The 21,159-nt window shown below is 45.0% G+C and overlaps 1 protein-coding gene across 8 annotated transcripts in view, besides 11 other annotated features; it reads left to right on the top strand.

The window, feature by feature from the left end:
* Positions 7,710 to 7,759: an enhancer, noted in NCBI's record as "active region_19552". NCBI's record gives its function as "activates an Ori minimal core promoter by ATAC-STARR-seq in GM12878 lymphoblastoid cells {active_cell/tissue: GM12878}" and the evidence as "EXISTENCE:reporter gene assay evidence [ECO:0000049][PMID:35858748]".
* Positions 10,589 to 11,089: an enhancer, noted in NCBI's record as "H3K4me1 hESC enhancer chr3:16558493-16558993 (GRCh37/hg19 assembly coordinates)". NCBI's record gives its function as "activates a minimal SCP1, AML or CMV promoter by ChIP-STARR-seq in naive H9 embryonic stem cells {active_cell/tissue: H9 hESC(naive)}" and the evidence as "EXISTENCE:reporter gene assay evidence [ECO:0000049][PMID:30033119]".
* Positions 11,090 to 11,590: an enhancer, noted in NCBI's record as "H3K4me1 hESC enhancer chr3:16557992-16558492 (GRCh37/hg19 assembly coordinates)". NCBI's record gives its function as "activates a minimal SCP1, AML or CMV promoter by ChIP-STARR-seq in naive H9 embryonic stem cells {active_cell/tissue: H9 hESC(naive)}" and the evidence as "EXISTENCE:reporter gene assay evidence [ECO:0000049][PMID:30033119]".
* Positions 12,161 to 12,210: a silencer, noted in NCBI's record as "silent region_14119". NCBI's record gives its function as "represses an Ori minimal core promoter by ATAC-STARR-seq in GM12878 lymphoblastoid cells {active_cell/tissue: GM12878}" and the evidence as "EXISTENCE:reporter gene assay evidence [ECO:0000049][PMID:35858748]".
* Positions 12,818 to 12,993: a silencer, noted in NCBI's record as "fragment chr3:16556589-16556764 (GRCh37/hg19 assembly coordinates)". NCBI's record gives its function as "represses an EF-1alpha promoter that drives an FKBP-Casp9 reporter gene in an ReSE screen in K562 erythroleukemia cells {active_cell/tissue: K562}" and the evidence as "EXISTENCE:reporter gene assay evidence [ECO:0000049][PMID:32094911]".
* Positions 14,147 to 14,216: a silencer, noted in NCBI's record as "silent region_14118". NCBI's record gives its function as "represses an Ori minimal core promoter by ATAC-STARR-seq in GM12878 lymphoblastoid cells {active_cell/tissue: GM12878}" and the evidence as "EXISTENCE:reporter gene assay evidence [ECO:0000049][PMID:35858748]".
* Positions 14,247 to 14,606: a silencer, noted in NCBI's record as "silent region_14117". NCBI's record gives its function as "represses an Ori minimal core promoter by ATAC-STARR-seq in GM12878 lymphoblastoid cells {active_cell/tissue: GM12878}" and the evidence as "EXISTENCE:reporter gene assay evidence [ECO:0000049][PMID:35858748]".
* The window catches only part of RFTN1 (raftlin, lipid raft linker 1), a 197,855-nt gene continuing 191,071 nt past the window's right edge, over positions 14,376 to 21,159 (top strand). For 4 of the 8 annotated variants that reach the window (XM_017006007.3, NM_015150.2, XM_047447783.1 and 1 more), the window contains exon 1: positions 14,376 to 14,633. The gene's annotated coding sequence lies outside the window, so the exon portion shown is untranslated. Of the gene's footprint in view, positions 15,005 to 15,158; positions 15,292 to 21,159 lie in introns of those variants that run through there. The other 4 variants (XM_011533530.2, XM_047447780.1, XM_005264986.3 and 1 more) reach the window with 2 other exon arrangements.
* Positions 14,897 to 14,976: an enhancer, noted in NCBI's record as "active region_19551". NCBI's record gives its function as "activates an Ori minimal core promoter by ATAC-STARR-seq in GM12878 lymphoblastoid cells {active_cell/tissue: GM12878}" and the evidence as "EXISTENCE:reporter gene assay evidence [ECO:0000049][PMID:35858748]".
* Positions 15,527 to 15,936: an enhancer, noted in NCBI's record as "active region_19550". NCBI's record gives its function as "activates an Ori minimal core promoter by ATAC-STARR-seq in GM12878 lymphoblastoid cells {active_cell/tissue: GM12878}" and the evidence as "EXISTENCE:reporter gene assay evidence [ECO:0000049][PMID:35858748]".
* Positions 17,665 to 17,824: an enhancer, noted in NCBI's record as "active region_19549". NCBI's record gives its function as "activates an Ori minimal core promoter by ATAC-STARR-seq in GM12878 lymphoblastoid cells {active_cell/tissue: GM12878}" and the evidence as "EXISTENCE:reporter gene assay evidence [ECO:0000049][PMID:35858748]".
* Positions 19,754 to 19,833: an enhancer, noted in NCBI's record as "active region_19548". NCBI's record gives its function as "activates an Ori minimal core promoter by ATAC-STARR-seq in GM12878 lymphoblastoid cells {active_cell/tissue: GM12878}" and the evidence as "EXISTENCE:reporter gene assay evidence [ECO:0000049][PMID:35858748]".

Genomic DNA, 21,159 nt, shown 5'->3' with positions numbered 1-21,159 from the left:
AGTGCTTGAAAAATCTTATTAGCTTAATACAAATACATGAAGCTTTTCCCTGGTTTCCCTTGACAAATCATTTCCTTAATTCCAAACAAATAGCCTTTACATTATTGGGTGTTTGTCCAATTTCTTAATTAACCAAGACTCTTATGTGCAGTAGATAGAAATCCAATGATACCAGTTTGAGAAAGAAGGGGAAATGTATGGCTCACGTAAGTGGAAGTCCGTTCACAATTGCATTCAGAAGCTTAAGTGAGATTGTCAAGACGGTAGTTCATTCTCTCCCTCTTGCTGTCACGGGCTCTCTAAACTCTACACATCTCTGTGTTGTTGTGGCCACATTTTCTCCTTCTAAAGATACGCTTTCTCCACATAGTGGGGAAGATGTTTGCCAATAGCCCATTTCCAGCTGTATCACCAAAAATAATACTACCTCTTTTTCTCTATCTCTAAATAAAAAATTCTGGGGAAGAAACCTGATTGTTTCTGGTGGGGCCACCTGAGTATCTGTAGACTAAGCACTAGGACCATGTGATTGGATTATTAGGAGTAGCTGGGTCTAGATCATGTGCCCACACCTATGGCCAGGATATCTATCTGTTAGTATCAATAATGTCCCAGAATCTCATGATTAAGCTTGGGAAAAACACTCCCCAAACCAAATATAGAGCCAATTGTAAATGGTAAAAATTAACTAGGAAAGCAGAGATTGAGAGAAACAAGTAGTCTGCCTAAATTCCAGAAATGAGACCACTGACTAGGGCAAATATTTACATGTCCACACCTTGTTCACAGGTGTGTATTTGCAAAAAATAACACAACCCTTTTCACACAGCTATCTTTCAGCTGGAAGTGACGAAGCTACATAATTCTGACAAATGAAACGTAAGTGCTTGTTTACTCTGTGGTTTTTGGGCAAGCATATCCTTCCATGATATGCATGTTGTCTCTTCCCTCCTCCTTCTTCTCTGCAATGGAAGATCATTGTGATACTTGGTGTTGCAGCAGCCATCTTGCAGCCATCTTGCAACCATGAGGGAAAGGCCCATAGCATCATGAGATGCAAACCAGGGCCAACAGCTGTTGTCTTCAGACTTTTGTTATGTAAAAAAAACTTCTCTATTTGTTTAAACCATTAAGATCAGGCTATCTTGTACTGGCAGCCAAAATATTCCTAAATGATACAATGGATAAATCAGATTCATTTGTACTCAGAAATAAAATCTCAAAAGTTATAGAAGCTGATACAGTTCTCTGTCTCTCTGTGTGTTATTATCAGAGTTTTCAGTTATCCATCATTTCAAACTTTGGGGAAGATGAAGAAGACACAATTCTTTTACCCAGAGGAAGCTTACAATTAAATAGAGCTTAAAATTTAGGCCAATGTTGAACAAAGAATTCCTTCTCATGTTTAATTCCGCAATGTTTCAATTAAGCCCATTTGCTTTTTATTTCTTCCTCAGTAGAGCTCAGGAATGGCTAGTTACCATCTTTTTTTTTTTTAATAGGGAAGATGACTTAATTAAAATACTTTTCCATCTCTGTTGTGTGTGTGTCTATGCATGTGTTTCAGTTTGTTTTTCCTGGTTAATTAGCACCAATTTCTTTGACTCTTTTCATAGATTTTATTTTTCAAACCTCTAATCTTTATTTAAGATTATATCAAACAAAATCTATACGTAGAGTTTTTAAAACTTCTGTGGTCACTAAAGCCCTCTGGCCTAGTGGAGAACAAAATTGTGATGACTTTTTAGCCTGCTTTCAAATCCTCCAGCCCCAAAGCCGGAGCCACCTGCCTCTCCTGGGTGATTGAGTCTTCAACTGCATGACTCTTGCTCTCAATTCTGGAATCAAGATTGTCCCTGGGTAGAGGAATCTGATGCAACGTAGGTTCAGGGATGTTGAGCTCTGAATGGAGTCACTGTGCCTACCATGATCATTTTAACCTGCTGTTCTAGTTCACCAGTGACTGAATTCCTTACATGGTCTTTACTTTCCTTTGTTTGGGGTATTTTTCCTGTCTGGTCTTATCCCACTTCTGGTAATCACTTTCCGATTTTCCTGTGACATTGCTTCTCCTTTCCACTTTTGGAGTGAGCTGATTGACAAAACAGAAAGGCCAGCTACAGTTGGTGTCCACCTTAATCCTTGGGTTTCCAGTGAAATTAACTCCCTCCTTAGCTCCAACGGTGGGCATGTGAACCAGGCCTGGCCCATCAGAGCATCACATCACCTTAGCCACAGTGATTGGTTCAGAGATGGCCATTCGATCAGGTCAGGCTAATCAGGCCTATGACACTCAATGACGGAACTTTTGTAAGCTTGATTAGGAAAGGAAAGCCCTTTTCTCATGGGTATGCGAAGGAGAGAATATAAGCCTGGCATTATTGGCAGTCATCTTTCCACCAAAAAGGGACATACCTCCTAAGAATAAAGTCCACAAAAAGAACTGATAGAAGAAGAGCGGTTAGAGAGAGAAAGAGAAAGTGCTAGACCTTGGAGATGCTCTTTGAGCCCTGGATCCAATCTGGGTCAGCACTGTCCATTGACTTTCTCATTTCATGAACCAATGTATTTCCTTTTTTGCTCGTGGCAATCAGTAGACTTCCTGCCCTAAACCCCAAGTGTCTTCTGACTGGGTCCCCAGATCCTGTTTGGATTAGATACCTTAGATGCACACACCTTCTGCTCAATCCTTCACCATCTCCCATCCTAAGGACTAATTCCCTGGACTCACCTTGAAACTCAGGTCCTTACCTGCTAGTCTCTATAAAACAGGCCTTGAATGTGCCCCCATATCTTAATGTAGCTGAGGCTGTTGCAGTCCCAATCAGATCTCTGGCAATCTTTTTATTAACTGCTATTAAAGGCTCACAGAGCAAGCCTTGTCTGGGAAATGCCTTTAAGCAAGAGGAGTTGCCTGTCTACGAGATACCTAGGAGTTACAACCCTTCCCCTGGGGCTTCCCTAAGCTAAGGGTTGACTGATATGTGTGTACAAAAGCCCCACTTTTTTGCCTCAAGGAAGGACAAATGCTGCAGACAATGTGAGATCCAGTGCTGCCTACAAGATCAGGTTGAAGCTGGACTTCACCTGAAGCTACATCCTCGCTTAGCTTCTCCCTCTTCCTTAACTCACAAAAGAACCCCTATTTCAACCTCTGCTTCTAGGGAACACAACCTGTGGCAAATTGTAATTTCTAAAGATGGCAGCCATAATACCTCCCATTCCACATGCCCCTCTTACAGGGTGAGTCCTCTTATTAGGGCAGAGGTGTCTATATTCCCTTTCCTAGAATCTGGGTGGGTTTGTGACTGTTTGACCAACAGAGTATGATGAATGTGATGCTCTGTGACTCCGAAGCTACGTCATAATAGGCAGTGGAGCTTCTGCCTTGTTCATAGAAATATCTGCTATGGAGCCTTCGGCTTCTGTGTGAGTGAGTGCTCAAATTAGTCCATGTAGAGACTACCTGGGGAGAGAAAGAGAGAGAGGGGAGAGGGGATGGGAGAGAGGGGAGAGGGCAGAGAGGAGAGGAGAGAGGACAGAGGAGAGAGAAGAGAGAAGAGAGAGAGAAGATGATGCCCAGCCAGCTGCTCCAGCTTCAGGGTCCCGCTCCAGCCATCTGACTATAGCCACATGAGAGACCTTGAGCCAAAACCACCCAGCTGAGCCCTTCCTGAATCCCTGATGCACAGAAACCCAGAAACTTCTTAAATGGTTATTGTTTTAAGTCAATACATTTAGGCATGATTCACTGTTCAGTGATAAAAATCTGGAACACGACATGAGACACCAATCCTCAGCCTTTATGAAATATATGTGTTTGACCTGATTTTCCCTGGTCCTATTTGGCAGCTCAGAAAGCCAAGTCTTGGCAACAGCTGTTGATAGTCCTGTTGATGAACACATGTGGAAAAGCTGTGGCTTTCCAGTTTTCCACCATCAGGAAATGGGACAACATGGACACTTGTGGGTTATCATTGTCATTCCACCTATACCCAGGAGCGCTTATCTGCCAGGAATATGTGGCACTCCACTTGCTGTGTGGTCAGGCAAATGAGTCAGAGCCTGTATTTTTCCCTCCTGAACAGATTTTACTTGTAATATTCATAACACTTTCTGGGAAATTCCCAGATGTCAGGGTTTGAAAATCCTGAAGCAGCTGCTAATTGTGCCTTGGTTTTGTTTAAGTAAAAATGCTAATGAAGGTTTCTTCTAAGTGTCGTAATGAGAACCAAAAATAGGAACTCAAAGCTGAGGTAAGCTAGTGGTTCTCAACAAGTAGCAGGAATACTTTTGTTATTGTCCCTTTGTGGGCCACAGGACTCTCTCTCTCCAAACGATCTGAGGGTTGATGAGTCTTAATATACATCCCATAAAGTGAATGCATGTTTGTATGTGTGTGTGTTTGTGTCTTATAAGGCTTAGAGTCATTTTCTTACATATTTCAACCAATATTTTTAAAACGAAAAATGAGCATCAAAAAACTATGGCCCCCTTTAAAAAAAAAAAAGATATAGTCACAAAATAGGTGCCTACCCAAAAAAACAGCACCTGATATCTTTGACTGAGTTTTGTTTTATAGTGGGGACAAATAGGAATGGCAGGAAAGAGGGGCGGGGAGATTTCTGGAGGTTTTTGCTTTAGATTACTAACTTTACACTTAAGAAAACAATCTGTATGCCACTCTGAAAATTCACTGTTTTTTCTTATATTTCTGTAGAACCAGTGACTGAGCAGTGTGAAGTCTGGGCAGGGTGGAGGGAATCAAGCTCATGAGAAGGTTCTGTGTGAAGAAACTGTTTTTGATCCTGTTCTTACATTCCTTTGTTTCTGACTGTTCTTTTCTGCTTGCCTATTGCTGCATGATATGGCTTGGATGTTTTGTTTTCTCCAAATCTCATGTTGAAATGTGACCTCCAGTGTTGCAGGTGGGCCTAGTAGTAGGTGTTTGGGTCACAGGGGCTGATCTCTCATGAATGGCTTGGTGCTCTCCTCATGATGATGAGTGAGTTCTCACTCTGTGAGGTCACATGAGACCTGGTTGTTTAAAGGAGGCTGGCACTTCCTCTGTCTCACTCCCACTCTCACTGTGTGACAGCCCTGCTGCCCCTTCACCTTCTGCCATGATTGAAAACTTCCTGAGGCCCTCACCAGAAGCAGATGCCAGTGCCATGCTTCCTGTACAGCCTTCAGAACCATGAGCCAAAATAAACCTCTTCTCTTTATAAAGTACCCAGCCTCAGGTACTTCTTTTATAGCAATACAAGAAGAGACTAACACACTGCATAACCAGTGACCGTAAAACATACTGGCTTGAAGCAACACCAATCATTTTGTTATTTCTCATAATTTTTGTGGGTCAGGATTTGGGCAAGGCTTGGCTGGGTGGCTCTGGGCTAGGTCTTTCATGCAGTTTAAGTCAGTGAGGGGCTGGATCAGCCAAGAGCTGGCTGGGCAGTTTTCTCTCTCTCTTCATATAGTCTTGAGTCCTCTCCACATGGTCTCTGTGTGGTCTAGTTTGGGCTTCCTCAAAACATGGTGAGTTCTAAGCATTTAGACTACTTACATGGTAGCTTAATATCTCCTCAGTGAATTCTAGCCATCTAGGTGAAAAGTACGTTACCTACTAGCCACAGAAGTCACACAGCTTTACTTATGCTACATTCTACTGGTTACAAGTGTGTCACAAACTGCCCAGATGAAGGAGAAGAGAATTAGACTCTACCTTTTGATGGGAGAATGTCCACACTGCTTAAATCTGTTTTCTCAGCCTTCCCATCAATTCTGTGAGCTTCCCAAAAGCCTTTTTATAATTTTCTTTACAGGTTAAGGTGACCGAAGCCCATCTCTCTGGTATGCAATAAGAACCCTGACTGGCACACTCTTAATTGTTTAAATTGATATTTACTAATAGGCTTTTGCTTAGAGCCTCAAACTGGGGTTAGAGAGAATACAGGGGAGAGGTGGCTTTTAAAATCAGGGTTCCTTCCTTAAGAGTCAGTGTAATAACCTTGAGAGAAAAGGAGAGATGAAAAGAAGGACTTGCCTTATTATATCTTGACCATGAAGGTCTTGTCCTGCATGATTTAATTAGCCATCTTTTCAAGGAGTGATAACACTTGTAAAATATTGATAATTCCTTAATAATAGCATTAGCAAAGATGCTTGATACTAATTCCTGGAGAAGAAGGCAGATGTTTGAGCCTGGCCTATTGCCATCCAGCTGTTTCTCAGCCAAGGCTGCCTGCCAAAACCGGGATTTTAGGCCTGTTAAAAAGTCTCTCGTGCTCTTTCCCCTGACTGCCAAGGCTGCCAGCCCGACTCTTGGTACTTGAGCCTGGAAACTCCAGGGCTGAGGGAAAAGGGCTCAGTGGTGATTGACAGAGAGCTCTATTCCAAAACTCCCATTTCAGCTGAGAGAAAGACCACTGACAATGGGAGGGAGGAAAGTGGGCTTGCAGCCACTGACATTTAAACCCTCTAAATGCAACTCAGAAAGGGGTGGGGAGAACAGAATGAGTCTGGAGGAGGGAAAGAGCAGGCTTTACTAGAAACATTGTTATTTCAATATATACACATCAGCTCCTGGTATGAATGGTATTAACTTCTTCATCCATTCATTCAGTTCTTTGTTCATTTGTTCACTCATCATGTTGTTTCATATTGATATTTCTCATTCTGGGAAATGGGGAAGTGACTAAATCAGAACCCTCATGTGGTTGGGGAAATAGAGGAATAAATGGCTACCATATAAGGCACTGCAGTTACATCTCAGTTAACACCACCTCTTAGAAGGAAGTCCCTTTATAGAAAGTTATATTTGGTGGGTAGTTGGGGTGGATGGGGGAGTAGTGGTGGGAAGCAGATATCTTGAGAAGCTGTTCTCACACCTTAGAACCTGAACTACGTGCTAACAGTTAAGGGGGAAATAACTCTAAGTAGTTTCCATCTATACAGCATGGCGGGGGTGGGAAGAGGTCCTTCTGCTTGTCTGCTAATCATAAGTGTCAACCTTCATTGTCTAATCTTGTCCCTCATCTCAAACACACACATTTATCTCACAGTAGAGATTCAGATGTCCTAGGAAGAAAACATGCCTTATGTTTCTGTAACATTTCAGAGGCTGAAAGAGGCAGTAGAGGCTTATTCCCAGTCCATTTCAGAATGGGTCTCAGCTCCCCTGGAGTTATGCATGAGTTCTGCAGGGCTCACATCATGCCAAGGCGTGAGCAGGATTGAGTGTGCCTGGTCTGTGTCATCAACATTCAGGACAGCATCCACAGGACATCTTTGCATCCTCAGGCTGCCTGTTGTCTGATACTGCTCTCTGCTGCGCTATCCCTGGGGTCTGTCACAAGGCTCTGTCTCTCAGCTGACTCCCTTGCTCCTCGCAGGACATGAGAGCATTGTGCTGCTTTAGCGCCTTCACTGACTACAGAAATCTTTGTGGGACTGTTTGCAGCCCTTTGTCACTTCTGTGCCTCCCCACCCCACCCCCCACCCCCGCCCACCCTGTGCCCAGGATTGATTCTATCTCTTCCACAGTGTGTCAGGGGCCAGGGAACCGGAGACTCCCTCAGGCCCATCTGTTCAGTTGCTGTGGTCACTAGGACCTCTGTCTCTTGATTCCTCTGTTGGGAAGACTGTGGGTTTCTGCCCAAGTGTTGACTTCCCTATGGGGCACTCTCTGAGGTCTGCCCTTAGATGAAAGCAGCTGTAAAAAAAAAAAATGCAAAATCCACCCCTTGATGTTTCCAAGTGTTGCCTCCCTCCTAGTACCTGCCTATTTGTAGTTGTCCACCACTGCCTTCAGAGTTGGGTTTTAGATTTTGTCCCGAGTTCATCTGTAGGACAGTTGGTTCAATATACTTTACTCTGCTATGCCAGAGTGGCATTTGCTGCCCTTCCTTTTGAATAAATGGTAGGGGCAGGATATTGGCTCATCTTTCCTTAGGGGTTTACGGCGTCCACCCCCTCCTGCTTCCCTTCACGCTCCTTTCTCCCTCCCTGCAGTCTGGGGATATGTTATGCTCTCCAAGAGGTTGGGAAATATTTTTCTGGCACTTTAAGATTTTTTCTTCTAAATTCTGAGTCCCTTGGACATTTGCAACTCAAACATCCAAGGATTTGAGTCCTTAAAGACTTTTCTGCTGAAACAACCATGCCCTGAGATATGGATGCCATATAGTTTAGCCAGTTCTCAGATTGAAGAAAAGGAGAGAGATAACAGAAAATAATAGGAAATGTTGGGATTGTAAAGACCATCAATTAATATTTCAATAAAAATATTCCTCGAGATCAAGCATAACACCTATCTTGAGTGATTGCTGGCTTCTGGTTTAGCATGAGTGAGATAGAGTGCATCTGATATTTCAATCAACAGTTACAATTATGTAAGCCCACTTATTCATTTATTTATTTATGCATGTTTTATTCATTCAGCAAACATTTAGACAGTGCCTGCTATTTGTCAGTCCCTGTTTTAGGTACTAATTATGGAATGAAAAGTTTGGCTTATTAAAGAGGTTTCAGGTATCAGCAAACATTAAGGAAGGAGACATAAGGTAGCCTGGAGTTAAATTCCACCTACTCCTTGGAGCAAACTCAAAGTTATACTGATTCTCTTATTTTTAGGTGGCTTAGAAGAGTGAAGAAAGCACAAAATTTAGACTCATAAAGTTCAAGTGAAGTCCCACTTTACCATTTATTAAAGGTATCACCTCGGGCAAGTCTCTCAATTCCCCTAGGCTATAGTTTCATTTTCATGCAGTAAATAACTGCCAAGTGTTACTAGTCTGAAAGCTTTTTGAGGTCGGGAACAGTGTCTGTTTATTCCCTGCTGTATCCCCTATTCCTAGCACACAGTGAGCGCACAGAATAGATCCTAAATAAATACTCCTTAAATGAATGAGTAAATAACAGCTCTTTATAGTTTTTTGATCATGGGCTTCTCTAACTGGAAACCTTGGGAATTATTATGATTCCAGGTTAATGTGGGAAATGTTTCTCTAATTGGATCTTTTCCTTTGGCCTTCCAGCTCCTAGGTATGCTCATAATGCCTTTAAGAACATTCAATGGATTCTAGTAAGGTGTATCAGTCAGTATAGGCTGGGTTATGCTGCAGAAACAGACAACTTGTAATTTCAATGGCTTAAAAACAAGTCATTTCTTGTTTATGTTATGTAAAGAGTATAGGTCAGATGGGGGCTCAGCTTCTCACAATCACTCAGGGATCTAGACAGATGAGCAGCCATCATATGGAAGGTTGCCAGTGGCCTTGCTAGAAGGAAGAGAAAGCCCTGAATGGTCTTGTCCTAACAGTTGATTAATTGTTAAGGAAGTGATACATTTTGCTTCTGCTCACAATTCATTAGCCAAAGCTAATTACAGCCCCTCCCAACTATAGGAGCCAGGAACAGCCATTACTGTGGGGCCAGAAGGGGAGGACTAGGAATATTCGAGGAACAGCATTGATGATCACCACAGTGCTACCTTGTAAGGGGGATACTGAACTGGTCCCTTCGGGTTCTTCTACGTACAGGTGTGATGGGAAGTAGGTGGGAGCATCTTTTCATACCCTTGGATCTTCTCAGGGTCCAGGGCCCTGCTGTCCATCTCAAGAGCTTACCAGCACTCTAGGCTATTAAATGAGGGTTGAACTCATGGAATAGGAGTTAGCCTCTCTGGATGATCCACGGGTTGTGCTCTGGCTGCTGTTGATGGGAGTTCATTGTCCAGCGTCAATGGGAAGGATGAACAGCCTGTTTCCTTCCTCTACTGAAGGTCTATAATGCTCCTCCTGCACAAATCCCAAGAGCTGAACAGCTGTCCACAGGGTTCTCAGATACTATGGATGGATGATTTTCACTTGAGTGGAGGTGGTGGGTTTCTGAATTCTGACTCTGGTCAGTCACTGTGTCCTACCAGTTGCTGCCATCAACATATTCCCTGTGCCTTTCCTTCCTTGCTTTTCTCCAGTTGTGAAGCTTTTATTGATTTTTTGAAGGTATGTGTGTACAGGATGGTGGGTGGGTAGCAAAAGGAAAGGAGATATGCTGCGGGACACTGGTTCTGCCTGATTTCCTATTTTTCCATGTATTTTCGTTTTATGCCTGGACATTGACTTCCAAAACTCAAAAGCCAAGAATTTGACTTTTTTTCTGGTGGAGTTATGATAACTCTCCTTTTGACAACACTTCCGGCTGTCCAAATTGATGGGAAGAGAGTTGTACAGGAACAAGAAATACAAGTTGTACAGTGTAGCAAGAAATACAGTGGGGGCGGGGGAATGATGGTGGAAGGGAAATCAGATTAATTAATATATCAAAATGTTATCCTGCCATTCATTTAATGATGATTTATTTTTATGATCTCCTTATTTTGACATCTGTAGAATGTATAGGCTCCTTATACACACACCCCCCCCCCCCCCCACACACACACACACATTTCCCCCTTATCTCTGGTAATAAAGTTCTCAAATGCAAGTCAACAAATGTGTCCCATGAATGGAATAACCAGTGAAGGGGTGTGGATGTGGATGGCTTTTGGTAAATTCAGACAATTCCTCAGGCTGAGTGAGGGAAACAAAGCTACAAATAGCAATGTGTTGCACGCAGTATTCCTGAAATTCAGTCTCCAGTGGCTCTTTGCTCCAGAGAACAAATTCCATCTCAGCCACAGGAGGGCCCCTGCTCCCCTGAACTGCTTGACTCAGACTGGGAATTCAGAGGTAAAATGAGTGGATTCAGGAGCAGAATAACAATAAATGTGGGTGGTGGTTTTTTTTTTTTTTTTTTTTTTTTTTTGTATGGGAGTGAATGGAACATTTGGCTATCATCCAACATTTCCTCAAATTGGTGATGTCTGTGGGTGGCATTTTCAAAGTATTGTTTTGACTATACTTTGGACAAAAGTCCCTAGCCTTGGCTGATCAATGCATATGCAAAAAATGCCCTAACCAGCTCCCTGCCCCCACCCTAATTCACATCTCCACTGTACTGGGGAGTCAAAAGCATGTTTTGGCACAAGTGTACTCTGCTTTAACGTGGCCAAGGGTGCCATGGTCTTCCTAGGGGCGTGCCTGTGCAGGCTGTGCCTGTCACCATGAACAAAGGGCAGGGGCCTCCTCCAAAACCACTGGCTTGGGGCACAGAGCTCAGGCCCCTGCCACCGTGGCTCCTTACAGGCACGATTGTCACCGGATGCAGGGCCAGCTTCCTATAACTGTTTAGTACAGAGCAGCTGGCCAAACTGTGAGCTCACTGTGGCTGCAAACCCATTAAAATATTAACTGTGATGATAAAGATGAATAATTATTGCACCTCCAGGGCATAGATAAGTCTAGTTCTGTCTCCCACCAGCCCTGAAACTCTGCTGTTCAGCTGGCGAGTGTAAGGTCTGGGTTTCGTGGTCCTGTACATAAACAATTAGGACAATAGCTCTTCAGGTTCCAAAGCTTTTGTTTGATCCATTTCTGCTATGAACTGTGATTACTCTCTGCAGAGAGGGGGAATTGAATTATTTTGGGCTAAGTTAGGAGCAGGGTGGACCTAAGTGAAGTGAAATTGTGGGGATGGGGTCTGGTGGGAAGAAGGTGAGCAGAATAGGTTAGCTGGGATTCTCCTTCCCTCCAAGCCTCAGCATAGTTAGGATGCAGCGAAATTGCTCCGGCTGCTGGTACCCATGGCCTTAATCATCTCCAGAGTGGGGTGGTGCTGCTGAGGCCAAGAAAGAATTATTCCAGCGGGGGGTTCCTTTAACTGAGCTTTTACAAGAATCGTGCAGTCTGGCCACAGCAGCTTCTTACACTTGCCTAGGCTGGCTTAACTCCTCTTCTTTCCACAGGGGGTGTGAGGAGATCCAGCTTCCCCATTAGCTTGGGACCTGCGTCTTATTGACTGTGAACACTCGGGACCCCAGTTCTGGGGCCATCTGTGACCTGTCATGCAGTAATAGCTTGGTTTTTCCCGTGTTCAGCTCCTCCCCGAGTACTTAGTGTTAAATCACAGGGGGAGGAAGTGTGAGCAGAGAAAAAACAGCACTATTACATGACCCCCGATGAGACCGCTGTGATAGAATTAAAAGCTGCCGCCCTAGGACATTCTAACAGATGACATTGTGAGGTTGCCAAGGTAACCCACTAGGATACAGTCCCAGCATCTTTGGGGTTGGGGCTGGGTAGGCAAGGTCAGTTAGAAGTGAGACCCAGCTGCCCAGGGTCTCTCCCATGGCTGGCCAGTCCATAGCAGTCAAGTGGAAAATCCAGGCAGCTCTCTACAGAACACAAGTGAATCCAACATTTGGCTCCTCATTAAATATTCCAGGTGAAAGAGAATTGGAACACCCTGGATAATTGCTGAATGCAGGTTAAGAAGAGCCTTGAAAGATCTGCATGCTATTGGCTCATCCACTCATTCCACACATATTTACTGAACACCTACTATGTGCCAGTAGGAAGCATCAGAATATCAAGAAGATCAGGAGTTCTAGAAAACCCTCAAAAATGCAGATCCAAGCAGGGAAAAAAGTCATTTAAGACATTTGCCCATGATTATTAGCACTCGGGAAAATATTGAGTGGAAGAAAATGGAAGCAATCAGAATAGCATATTAACCTCAAGCACTGGTGTCTTAAAAAAAAAAAGCACAAAAAACACAACGGTGTGCAAAAGTTTTATAGAGTGAAAATGATTTGCTTAAAAGAAATCAAGCACACTGCAACTAGGTTATGCTGCATTCCCCCACCCCCACCCTCCTTTTTCCTTTATCTTCTTTTAAATGCCTACCGGTTAACACCTATCAATTTTATTTTCTTTCTGTGGCCTAGTGACCAGCAAAGGATCAGAAAGATTTTGGATGGACCCTGACTTGCAGCAATTCAAGGCCTCGGGCAGATAGATAGCATGAAGACCCCTCCCTTTGGCTTCATAAATGGGTGTTCACAACCTCTGGTGATGCCCCTGAGCAAATGTCCCTGCGCACTACTGTCTGAACCTGGACTTACGTGGTCACCTGGTCTTATTTTCTTTCATGTGGCAAGCTCAAGTGTAGGGGGGAAATGGGGGACACTGGGGATAGTGGTGGTGAGTGTGACACCAGGAAAAGGTGGGGTGGAAAGGGAAAGGAGAAAAACAAATAAAAACAAAACAGTGGTGAGGGAGGGGGAGCAAAACAGAACTAGAAAGGCTATGGAAAGAGAAAATAAGGAAGAAAATCTCTGAGAAGCTGTGGTAACAGGAAGAGTCCCTGAAAACAAAATAGTGCTTCCTTACTTGCTGGAGGAGTGTTATTAGTGCCAGAAGGACCTCATCGAAACACTGCTGGGCCCCTAAACCAGCCCTCCACCCTGTGTGCTCCAGTGCTTAACTTTGCCCACACAGGGTCTTCTTTGCCCAATTAGAAAATGGAGATAATTAATTAAATTATCTCACCCTTCTTGTTCTAGCCCCCTTAAAATAATGATAATAGCTAAGTTATAGAGTGGTTGCTAAACACTTTACATATAATAACCCACGAAGAAGTGCCATGTGACAAATAGGCGCAGAGCAGTTAAGTCACTTACCCAAAGTCACACAGCCAGTAAGTACTAAAGCCAGGAATCCAACCCTGATTATTTGACTTTAAAGTTCCCCCTCTTAACCCCTACACTGTAATTCTGCTTGGTTTAGTTTTACGAAGAAAATATTTTCTAATGGCTCCTTGCCTCACATCTTCACTTTACTAATGCAGCCTGGTTTACTAGTGCTTCACTCTTTATATAATTTTCTCCCTGGGTGCCTCAAGTTGCCACGCAAGGTGATTCTCCAGATCTTCTCAAACCTCTGGACATCTTAAGTAGGTAGACCAAGGGATGGCAACGGAGACAGTGGCATTACCCTTCCCTGAAGCACTAACTCGCAAGAGAGAATTTCAGCAGCACCTGAGATGTTTAGGGATGCTCCCACCTGTGGAATGGGGTCGAGAAATGGTCCTCTCTCAAGTCGGCCCCAACCCCACCCCCAGCCATCAGCACCTTGATGGCAGTCGCCCTTTCAGCATCCTGGCTCAAATCTTGAAGGATCCTTGTCTCCCAGGCGCTCTTCCTGACAGCACACAACCTTGATTAGGAGGGGCTGGGAGGGAGGATCGATGAGCCCCTGACCCCTGGGTTCTGAGGCTGCCAGGGTCGCTTGCAGCTCGGCCGCGTGGAGGTGACCGGGCGGAACTCCGAGGGGGCGCGGGGAGAGCTGGGCGGGCCCACCGCTCCAGCGGCTGCTGTCAGGGGCCGCGAGGCTTTCCCTGAAGATGCAGCGTAGCATATTTTGCACATGAGTTCAGAGGAAGAGGAAGTGTAGCCGGCGGACGCGCGGCGGCGGCGGCGGGGGCGCGTCGGGGCTGGAGCCGGAGCGCGCCGGGCGCTGGGCGCAGCGAGCGAGAGCGCGGCGGCCGCGGGCTCCGGCGAGGGACAGACGCACCGATCGCCGGAGGGACAGACACACGACCACGCGGCGCCACCGCCCACGCCTCCACCCACCGGCGCCCAAGTCCTCCCCGCGCCGCCTCCTCTGTATGGCACAAACTTTCCTCCCGGGACGGAACACGCTGCCTCAGGGAGCCCGCGACCGCGCCTTCTCCTCCGCCGGTCCCATACGGTAGGCGGCGGGGGGGGCGCGACAGGGCTTGGGGTGTCGACCGGCACAGGCCCCTCCGTTTGGCCCCATGGACCGGGTCTCTGGCGGGTAGTGGGAACCGCGCGTGGCGCCTCCCTGCAGGTTGCTCTTTGCCGGGGCTCCGGAGCTGCCAGAGCAGCACCCCCTGGCCCGCGTCGGATGGGGACCTGGGCTGATCCTTGGGACGCCTGGATCTTGGGCCAACTTTTTTTTGCGGGGAACGGGTGTAGGGGAGTCATTCCTGGAGCGATGTAGGGAGAGGCACTTCGGAGCAGCCTGTTGGGGGTCGTAGGCTCTGCAGGCTCAGAAGCGCCTAGGAAGGACGCAGAGGTGGGGGAGCTTGGAGGCTACAGGTGGGTCCAGGACACACTGCCGCTGGGGTCCTCGGAAAAGAACAGGAGGGAGCTGGTCGCGGAGTCCAGGTTTCCGGGGTGCGCGCGGCCTGGGTGGGGCAGGGTGGAGGCGGTGCCTGACTGCCCCTCTGCGTGTGCCCTGGGAGGTGGGTTTGCTCTGGGGACAGAGGTGCTGGACGTGTAGGAGCAGACATGCCGCGCGCTCCGAGGAAGCGCCGGAACCACCAGAAGCACAGGGACGCGGGTGCCGAGAGTCCCCAGCACTGAAAACGGGGATCTCCTCTTCTGTAAGGGATTTTCTTCCCTTGTCTTAACCCACTTCTCTAGACTCAAGGGACGCCAGGATGGATATGGGTCTGGGCGAGGAGGAGGTGGTTGTGTATTTCGGGAAGCCCCGTTGTCAGGCACGCGCACCCCAGTCCTAGGCCAGGGCTGGTGCCCTTCACCTCCGGTGTCGCTGCCTTTGGCAGCAAGAACCGCGTGGAGGCCAAGGTTGTAGAACCAGGCACGCTCCCTGCTGTCTGTCTGTGACTCTGTGCTTGCCCTCAGCTGCCCTGTGTGGTTATGGGTGATCCCTAGGGACGCTGGGTGGTGTCAGTGAGTTTCTTCGGGGGCTTAAAACAAACAAACAAGAAGTACTTTTTTAAAAAAAAAGTCTGGCTCAATCTCTGTCAGTGGTCACCCCAGTTTCCAGCAACTCATGTGCTGGAACCCTTGTAGTCGGTACAGCTGTTTCAGGAGCTGGGCGCTCAACTAGACTAGGCATCTTCCAACCCCTGCCATCGTGTGTCATCTCAGGATAAGTTAAGGCCTTGCCAGGAAGGAAGCCGGGTGTAATGTGAGCGACCTCTGGGCCTGTGGGTAGGGCCTCTCTGCTGCCGGGATTCCTAATTTGTATCTCTGAACAGCTGAATCCCAACGAAGTTCAAGTGACCCCAGATGTCACCAAACCCCAGAGAGGGGTTACGAAGCAAGCTGTTTGGGACTCTTTGGTGCGTGTGTGCTAACCTCAGTGAAATCACTCTAACCTCAGACTGAGCTCTGCATCCTCTTTTGCCTTCAGTGGGGTTTCTGGCCCGCCTGAGTGATTCAAAGCCCCAGAGCTGGCACGTCATCCTCTGGCTGCATTTGTATATCAAGTCACTGGGTTGGTTTTTCTTTGTTTGCTTTTTGGCTGTATGGACATGGGGCAAATGGAAGTGGAGTGTTGTGCAGTTAGCTAGTAGATTTGGTACAGGAATTGAAAGATAATAAATTGGGAATACAAGTCAGTGAGTTCTTTTTCTCCCTCTTGAGCAGGAATTTTTGGCTTACATTCAAATAATTGCTTTGTCTGTAGGGAAACAAGCAGAAAATCTTTGGCATGAGTGATGTGAGTTCCTGTAAAGCTACTTATGTTCTTCCAGTCTTCTCTTTTCAGCAGAATTGAAACTATGTGGTCCCATGGCTTGGTGGGGCATGGTGCTTTGCCAAATTTCTAACTTGGTGGACTAAGGAGAGGACACTGTGACTCTATCCCCATCCCATTTTTTAAGATATAGAAAAGTTGCAAGAACAGTGACCCCCTAAATATACACACCTAGAGTCTAATTCACATTTTGCCATCTTTGCTTAACTACACACCTCCCCCAACCATCCAGCCATCCCTGTGTCCATCCATAAGTCCAGCTGATGGTTTTATGCACTTTAAAGTAAATTACAGATGTTGGTACAGGTCATTCCTAAACATTTTAGTACACATTTTATTATTTTGACTTCAATATGTGCTTATGGTTTCCTTAAGATAAAATTTATATACATATAGTGAAATGTGCAAAGATGGAAAGTACCATTTGCATAATGTTTTGACAGATGCATGCACCTGTGTAACCCTAGTCCTTATCAAGACAGAGAATATTACTGTCACCCCAGCAGGTGCCTTCATCCTCATTCTCAGTCATTCTCTGCCCTCACCCTCTCAGTGGCAACCACTGCCCTGTATCTCATCATAGGTGAGTTTGGCTTGTTCTTGAACTTCATGTAAATGGAATTCTGCAATATTGTGTAAAGCTCACCATATTTTTGAGATTCATCCATGTCGTATCCATGATTTGGTCTTTTTTTATTGCTGACTTATGTTCCGGAGTATGTCTTACTCCACAGTTTGTTTGTATATTCTGTTAATGGATACATGGATTATTTTAGTTTCTTTCTTCTAGTTTCTTTCTTTCTTTCTTTGGTTATTGTGAACAAAGCTGCCGTGAACATTTGTGTACAAGTCTCTGTAGGGACATGTGTTCTCATTTCTCATGGGTAAACACCTAGTAGTAAATTGCTGGGTCAAAAAGGAGATATATGGAAACCTGAAAAGAAACTGCCAGACCTTTTCCCAACATGGTTATACCATTTTACAGTCTCACCAGCAAAGAATACAAGTATGAGATTCCAGATACTACAGCCCTGTCTTTCCTATCCTAAAGTCAAGAGCATGGTTTGACTAGTGTTCTTCTGGGGCCAGAGGGAATCTGAGGCAGTGGGGAACATGTTTTTATAGGTGGAGGGGCCATAGGAAGTCCCTGACTCTGCCTGAAAATGGGTTTAAACTTAAATCATTGCAGACGATCAGATGAATATTTTATTTTTAGAGATTTTCAGAGAAGGGAATTCCATAGGGGAATGTACCCTTGGTTGTGAAAGAAGATTGATTGAGTGCTTTCTATAAAAAGAAAAATAACCCCAAGCCCCACAGAATTTTACTAAGCTTCTGCCTAGAAACTCCCGGGGGATTTCTGGTCTATTGGTAGGGTTGATATTAACTTGGTGGAGAGTCCCCTTGGATTTCACCGGCTTGGTCAGCCGGCTACTGAAAGGGGTTGTGTTTATTTTGAGGGGCAGGTCAGATTTGGCTTTGTTAAGACTCAGAGAATGACTCTCTTGTGAAAGTGATCTGGCCTCTCAGTGAGAAACATGGCCTGTCAACACCCCTCTTATTGTCCTGACTGGGAAAATGGGCCTGTGCCCCTCGGGTCCCCTAATAACTTAGTCCCTCTCTGTGGTGCCAACAGCCAAAGCTTGCCTTGGCTGATCTAGGAAACGGGAAGTGAACTTTTCTGTCTGAGTGGGACCCCAGGATGCATGTTTTGCATCCCATCAAGGTGTCCCAGGGCTGACCAAGCTTTGCAGGAGTCAGATGGCAGACAGCTCAGTCTTGAGACATTGCACTGTGTTTGGGGACTGTTCCCTCCTCCTTAAAAGCCTAGCGCAGTGCCTGCCAGAGGGTAGGGACACAGTAAACATTGGCTGAGTGATTTCGTGACTCGTGATACCCATCTGGGTGATCGCCTCTCTGGAGGTTGACAGTGGGTGTCAAGATGTCAGGGCCCCAGGATGTATTTTACTCGAGGGCACTTTACCATGGCTTGGAAAACACATTCAAAGGGTTTGGGCCTAGGAAAATTTTGTTCAGTGTAAACTTTCATTGTATTAACACTGTTCTCTTTATTACTGATTTTAATATTGTTAATAAAATACAAATAATTATAGCTGCCACTTGCTGAGTGCTTACCCTTTGCCAGGCACTGTTGTACATTTTGCACGCATTATCTGAATTTAATCCTCATGAGAGGCGAGTACTTATATTATCTTCACTTCAGCCCTGAGGAAATTGAAGCTTGCAAGGTTAACTTTCCCTAAGTTCACGTTTTCATTTTTCTAAGACCTTAAGGGAAGAGACTGTGACATTCTGGTTTTTTGAAGGCAAAATCTGTCTACAATCACGGATTTCCAAATACACAAAGCCATATTATAATAGAAATGTAAATTAGATAATCAGAACAGCGTTACAGGAAATGATACACTGCAATCATTTTCTTTAGTTTTTTTTTGTTGTTGTTTGTTTGTTTTCATTTTGTCTTAAGCTTACTGAGTTTGGCACAGCCAGGGGCTTATACTAATTTTGATGATAATTTAAAATATTATTGGTTGATTAGGATTACAATTTTATTGAAGGAACAGAAAGACGTTGCCAGCTGAACTGTTCAATACAGTAGCCACTAGTTACATGTGGCTATTTACATTTAAATGTAATGAATTAAAAGAAAAGAAAATTTAAAATTCAGTCCTTCCGTCTCACTCACCGCATTTCAAGTGGCCCAGAGCCACGTGTGGTTAGTGGCTACTGAATTGGATAGCACAGATAGTAGTTTCATCATTGCTGAAAGTTCTGTTTGACAGTGCTGCTCTGTGGTGTTTTTTTTTTACCCTTCAGTTTAAGAATTGGTAACACACTTGGCTAGGGCTTCTGCTATTTTTCACTGACAAAGGGATACATTTAGCCAGATGTTGCTTTTGTGTTTACCTTTTAAAGGGGTGTGTGTGTGTGTGTGTGTGTGTGTGCGTGCGTGTGATCTTTCCTTCCATTCACATTCAGTTTTTGACATACGTTTGAATCTCCCTTTTCTCCTGGGCCCCAAAGGGGCTTTCATTATTAGCATTGCATGTTTTATCAAGACACTTTCTCATAAAAAATTGGTACAGCAGGCAAGCGATAGCCACTGCTTGAACCCGGCTAATTCCTTGCTCTCCAAATAAGAATTCAGTTCAGCTTTTAAATATGCAATTGTGTGACTTACTCCCTACCTGGGCTGAATTCAGGAGGAAAAATCACTCTCAGTGGGCCAGAACCAAAGAGCTGGAAAATCAGGTGACATTCTGCAGTGATGGCTCCCTGCCAGGACTGAGATGGAGGAGACACCATTTGGGGTACTTGAAAGCTTCGTTTAGAGTTTTCCTGGATTTGACCTGCCTCCGGGGTGCAGGGATTGATGGAGAAGGCTGGCAGCTTTGATGTCCCAGTTACATGGGACAGTGGAGGGCTGGTACTGTGGCTGTCACCTCTGCTGGGGTGTACAGTACTTCAGAACCAGCCTCACAGGAGAGAGGAAGCCACTCCTCAGGTGTCTGCAAGCAGCAAGTCCAGCCAGAAGTGGGAAATCAACATAAGCTATGCTTGGCTCAGTTGTTTGATGCCGACAAACTCTTATGCTACTTTAAGATCCCGTATTGGAGGTTTCCACACTTCTTCAACCAGGAAGCCAGATGCACCTCACTGACAACTTTCTCTGGCGTTTACACCTGAAATGTCCCGTCGTGTTGTTCCATAGGCAGACCTCCTTGAGGGTTACAATTTATTCTTTACGGGGGCCTATCAGCTTTCATATGTGTGCATGTGTGTGTGTATATATATGTGTGTATGTGTGTGTGTGTGTATGTATGTATGTATGTGCGTTTGTGTGTGTTTGTGTGTATGTGAGTGTATGTGTGTGTTTGTGTGTATGTGAGTGTGCATGTATGTGTGTATGTGTTTGTGTGTATGTGTGTATGTGTATGTATGTGTGTGTATGTGTGTGTTTATGTGCATTGTGTGTGTATGTATGTGCGTGTTTGTGGATGTGTGCATGTGTGTGTGTATGTGTGTGTGTGTGTGTGTGTGTTTTGAAACTCCCTACTTTGCCTTTTACCCTTTGTCCTGAGGAATCCTTCAAGTTTTATGGAATAGCGCTAAAGTTCCTCAGATTTGGGGGAACTGTTGTAATAGATTTTACTCAGAAAGTTGGGTAAGAGATTTGGTTAATCATAGACTCTGGTTAATGGAACCTGATCATATCATGTATTAGCAAATTTTGGAAATATAAAGCACAAGAAATCAGGTTGTTTATTTAAACACTTCTTTAATTTAGAGAGGTCTTTTGGGATTTTCTGGTGTCTTATGATACCTTATAAGTGCCCTTTTCAGTGTGGCATAATCATGACTATAGGCCAGAGTAGGTCAAAAGGTGTCTTCATAATGAGCAACAAGTAATCCCAGTAGAGTACTAAAACGGTTAATATTTATACTGCTCTTTCTATGTGTCTGAGCTCTTCTGAGCCCTGTTAAATAGTAACTCACCCTACCTTATTTAGTCCTCACCCTAGAAGTAGATATTGCAGTTGTCCCCATTTTACAGATGAGAAAACTGAGGTTAAATGGCTTCCTTGAGGTCACACAGGTAGGAAATAAGGGCAGCAGGATTTGAACCTAGTCAGTCTGGTTCCAGAGCCTGTATGACCAACCCCTGTGCTGTACTGTTAAGAAAGTGAATTTGAGAGCCACAGATGGAATATTCCAAATGCCCTTT

Source organism: Homo sapiens, chromosome 3, assembly GCF_000001405.40.
Source record: "Homo sapiens chromosome 3, GRCh38.p14 Primary Assembly".
Taxonomy (NCBI): Eukaryota; Metazoa; Chordata; class Mammalia; order Primates; family Hominidae; genus Homo; species Homo sapiens.
The sequence above is the reverse complement of the archived record's forward strand: the minus strand, read 5'-3'. Positions and strand labels throughout refer to the sequence as shown.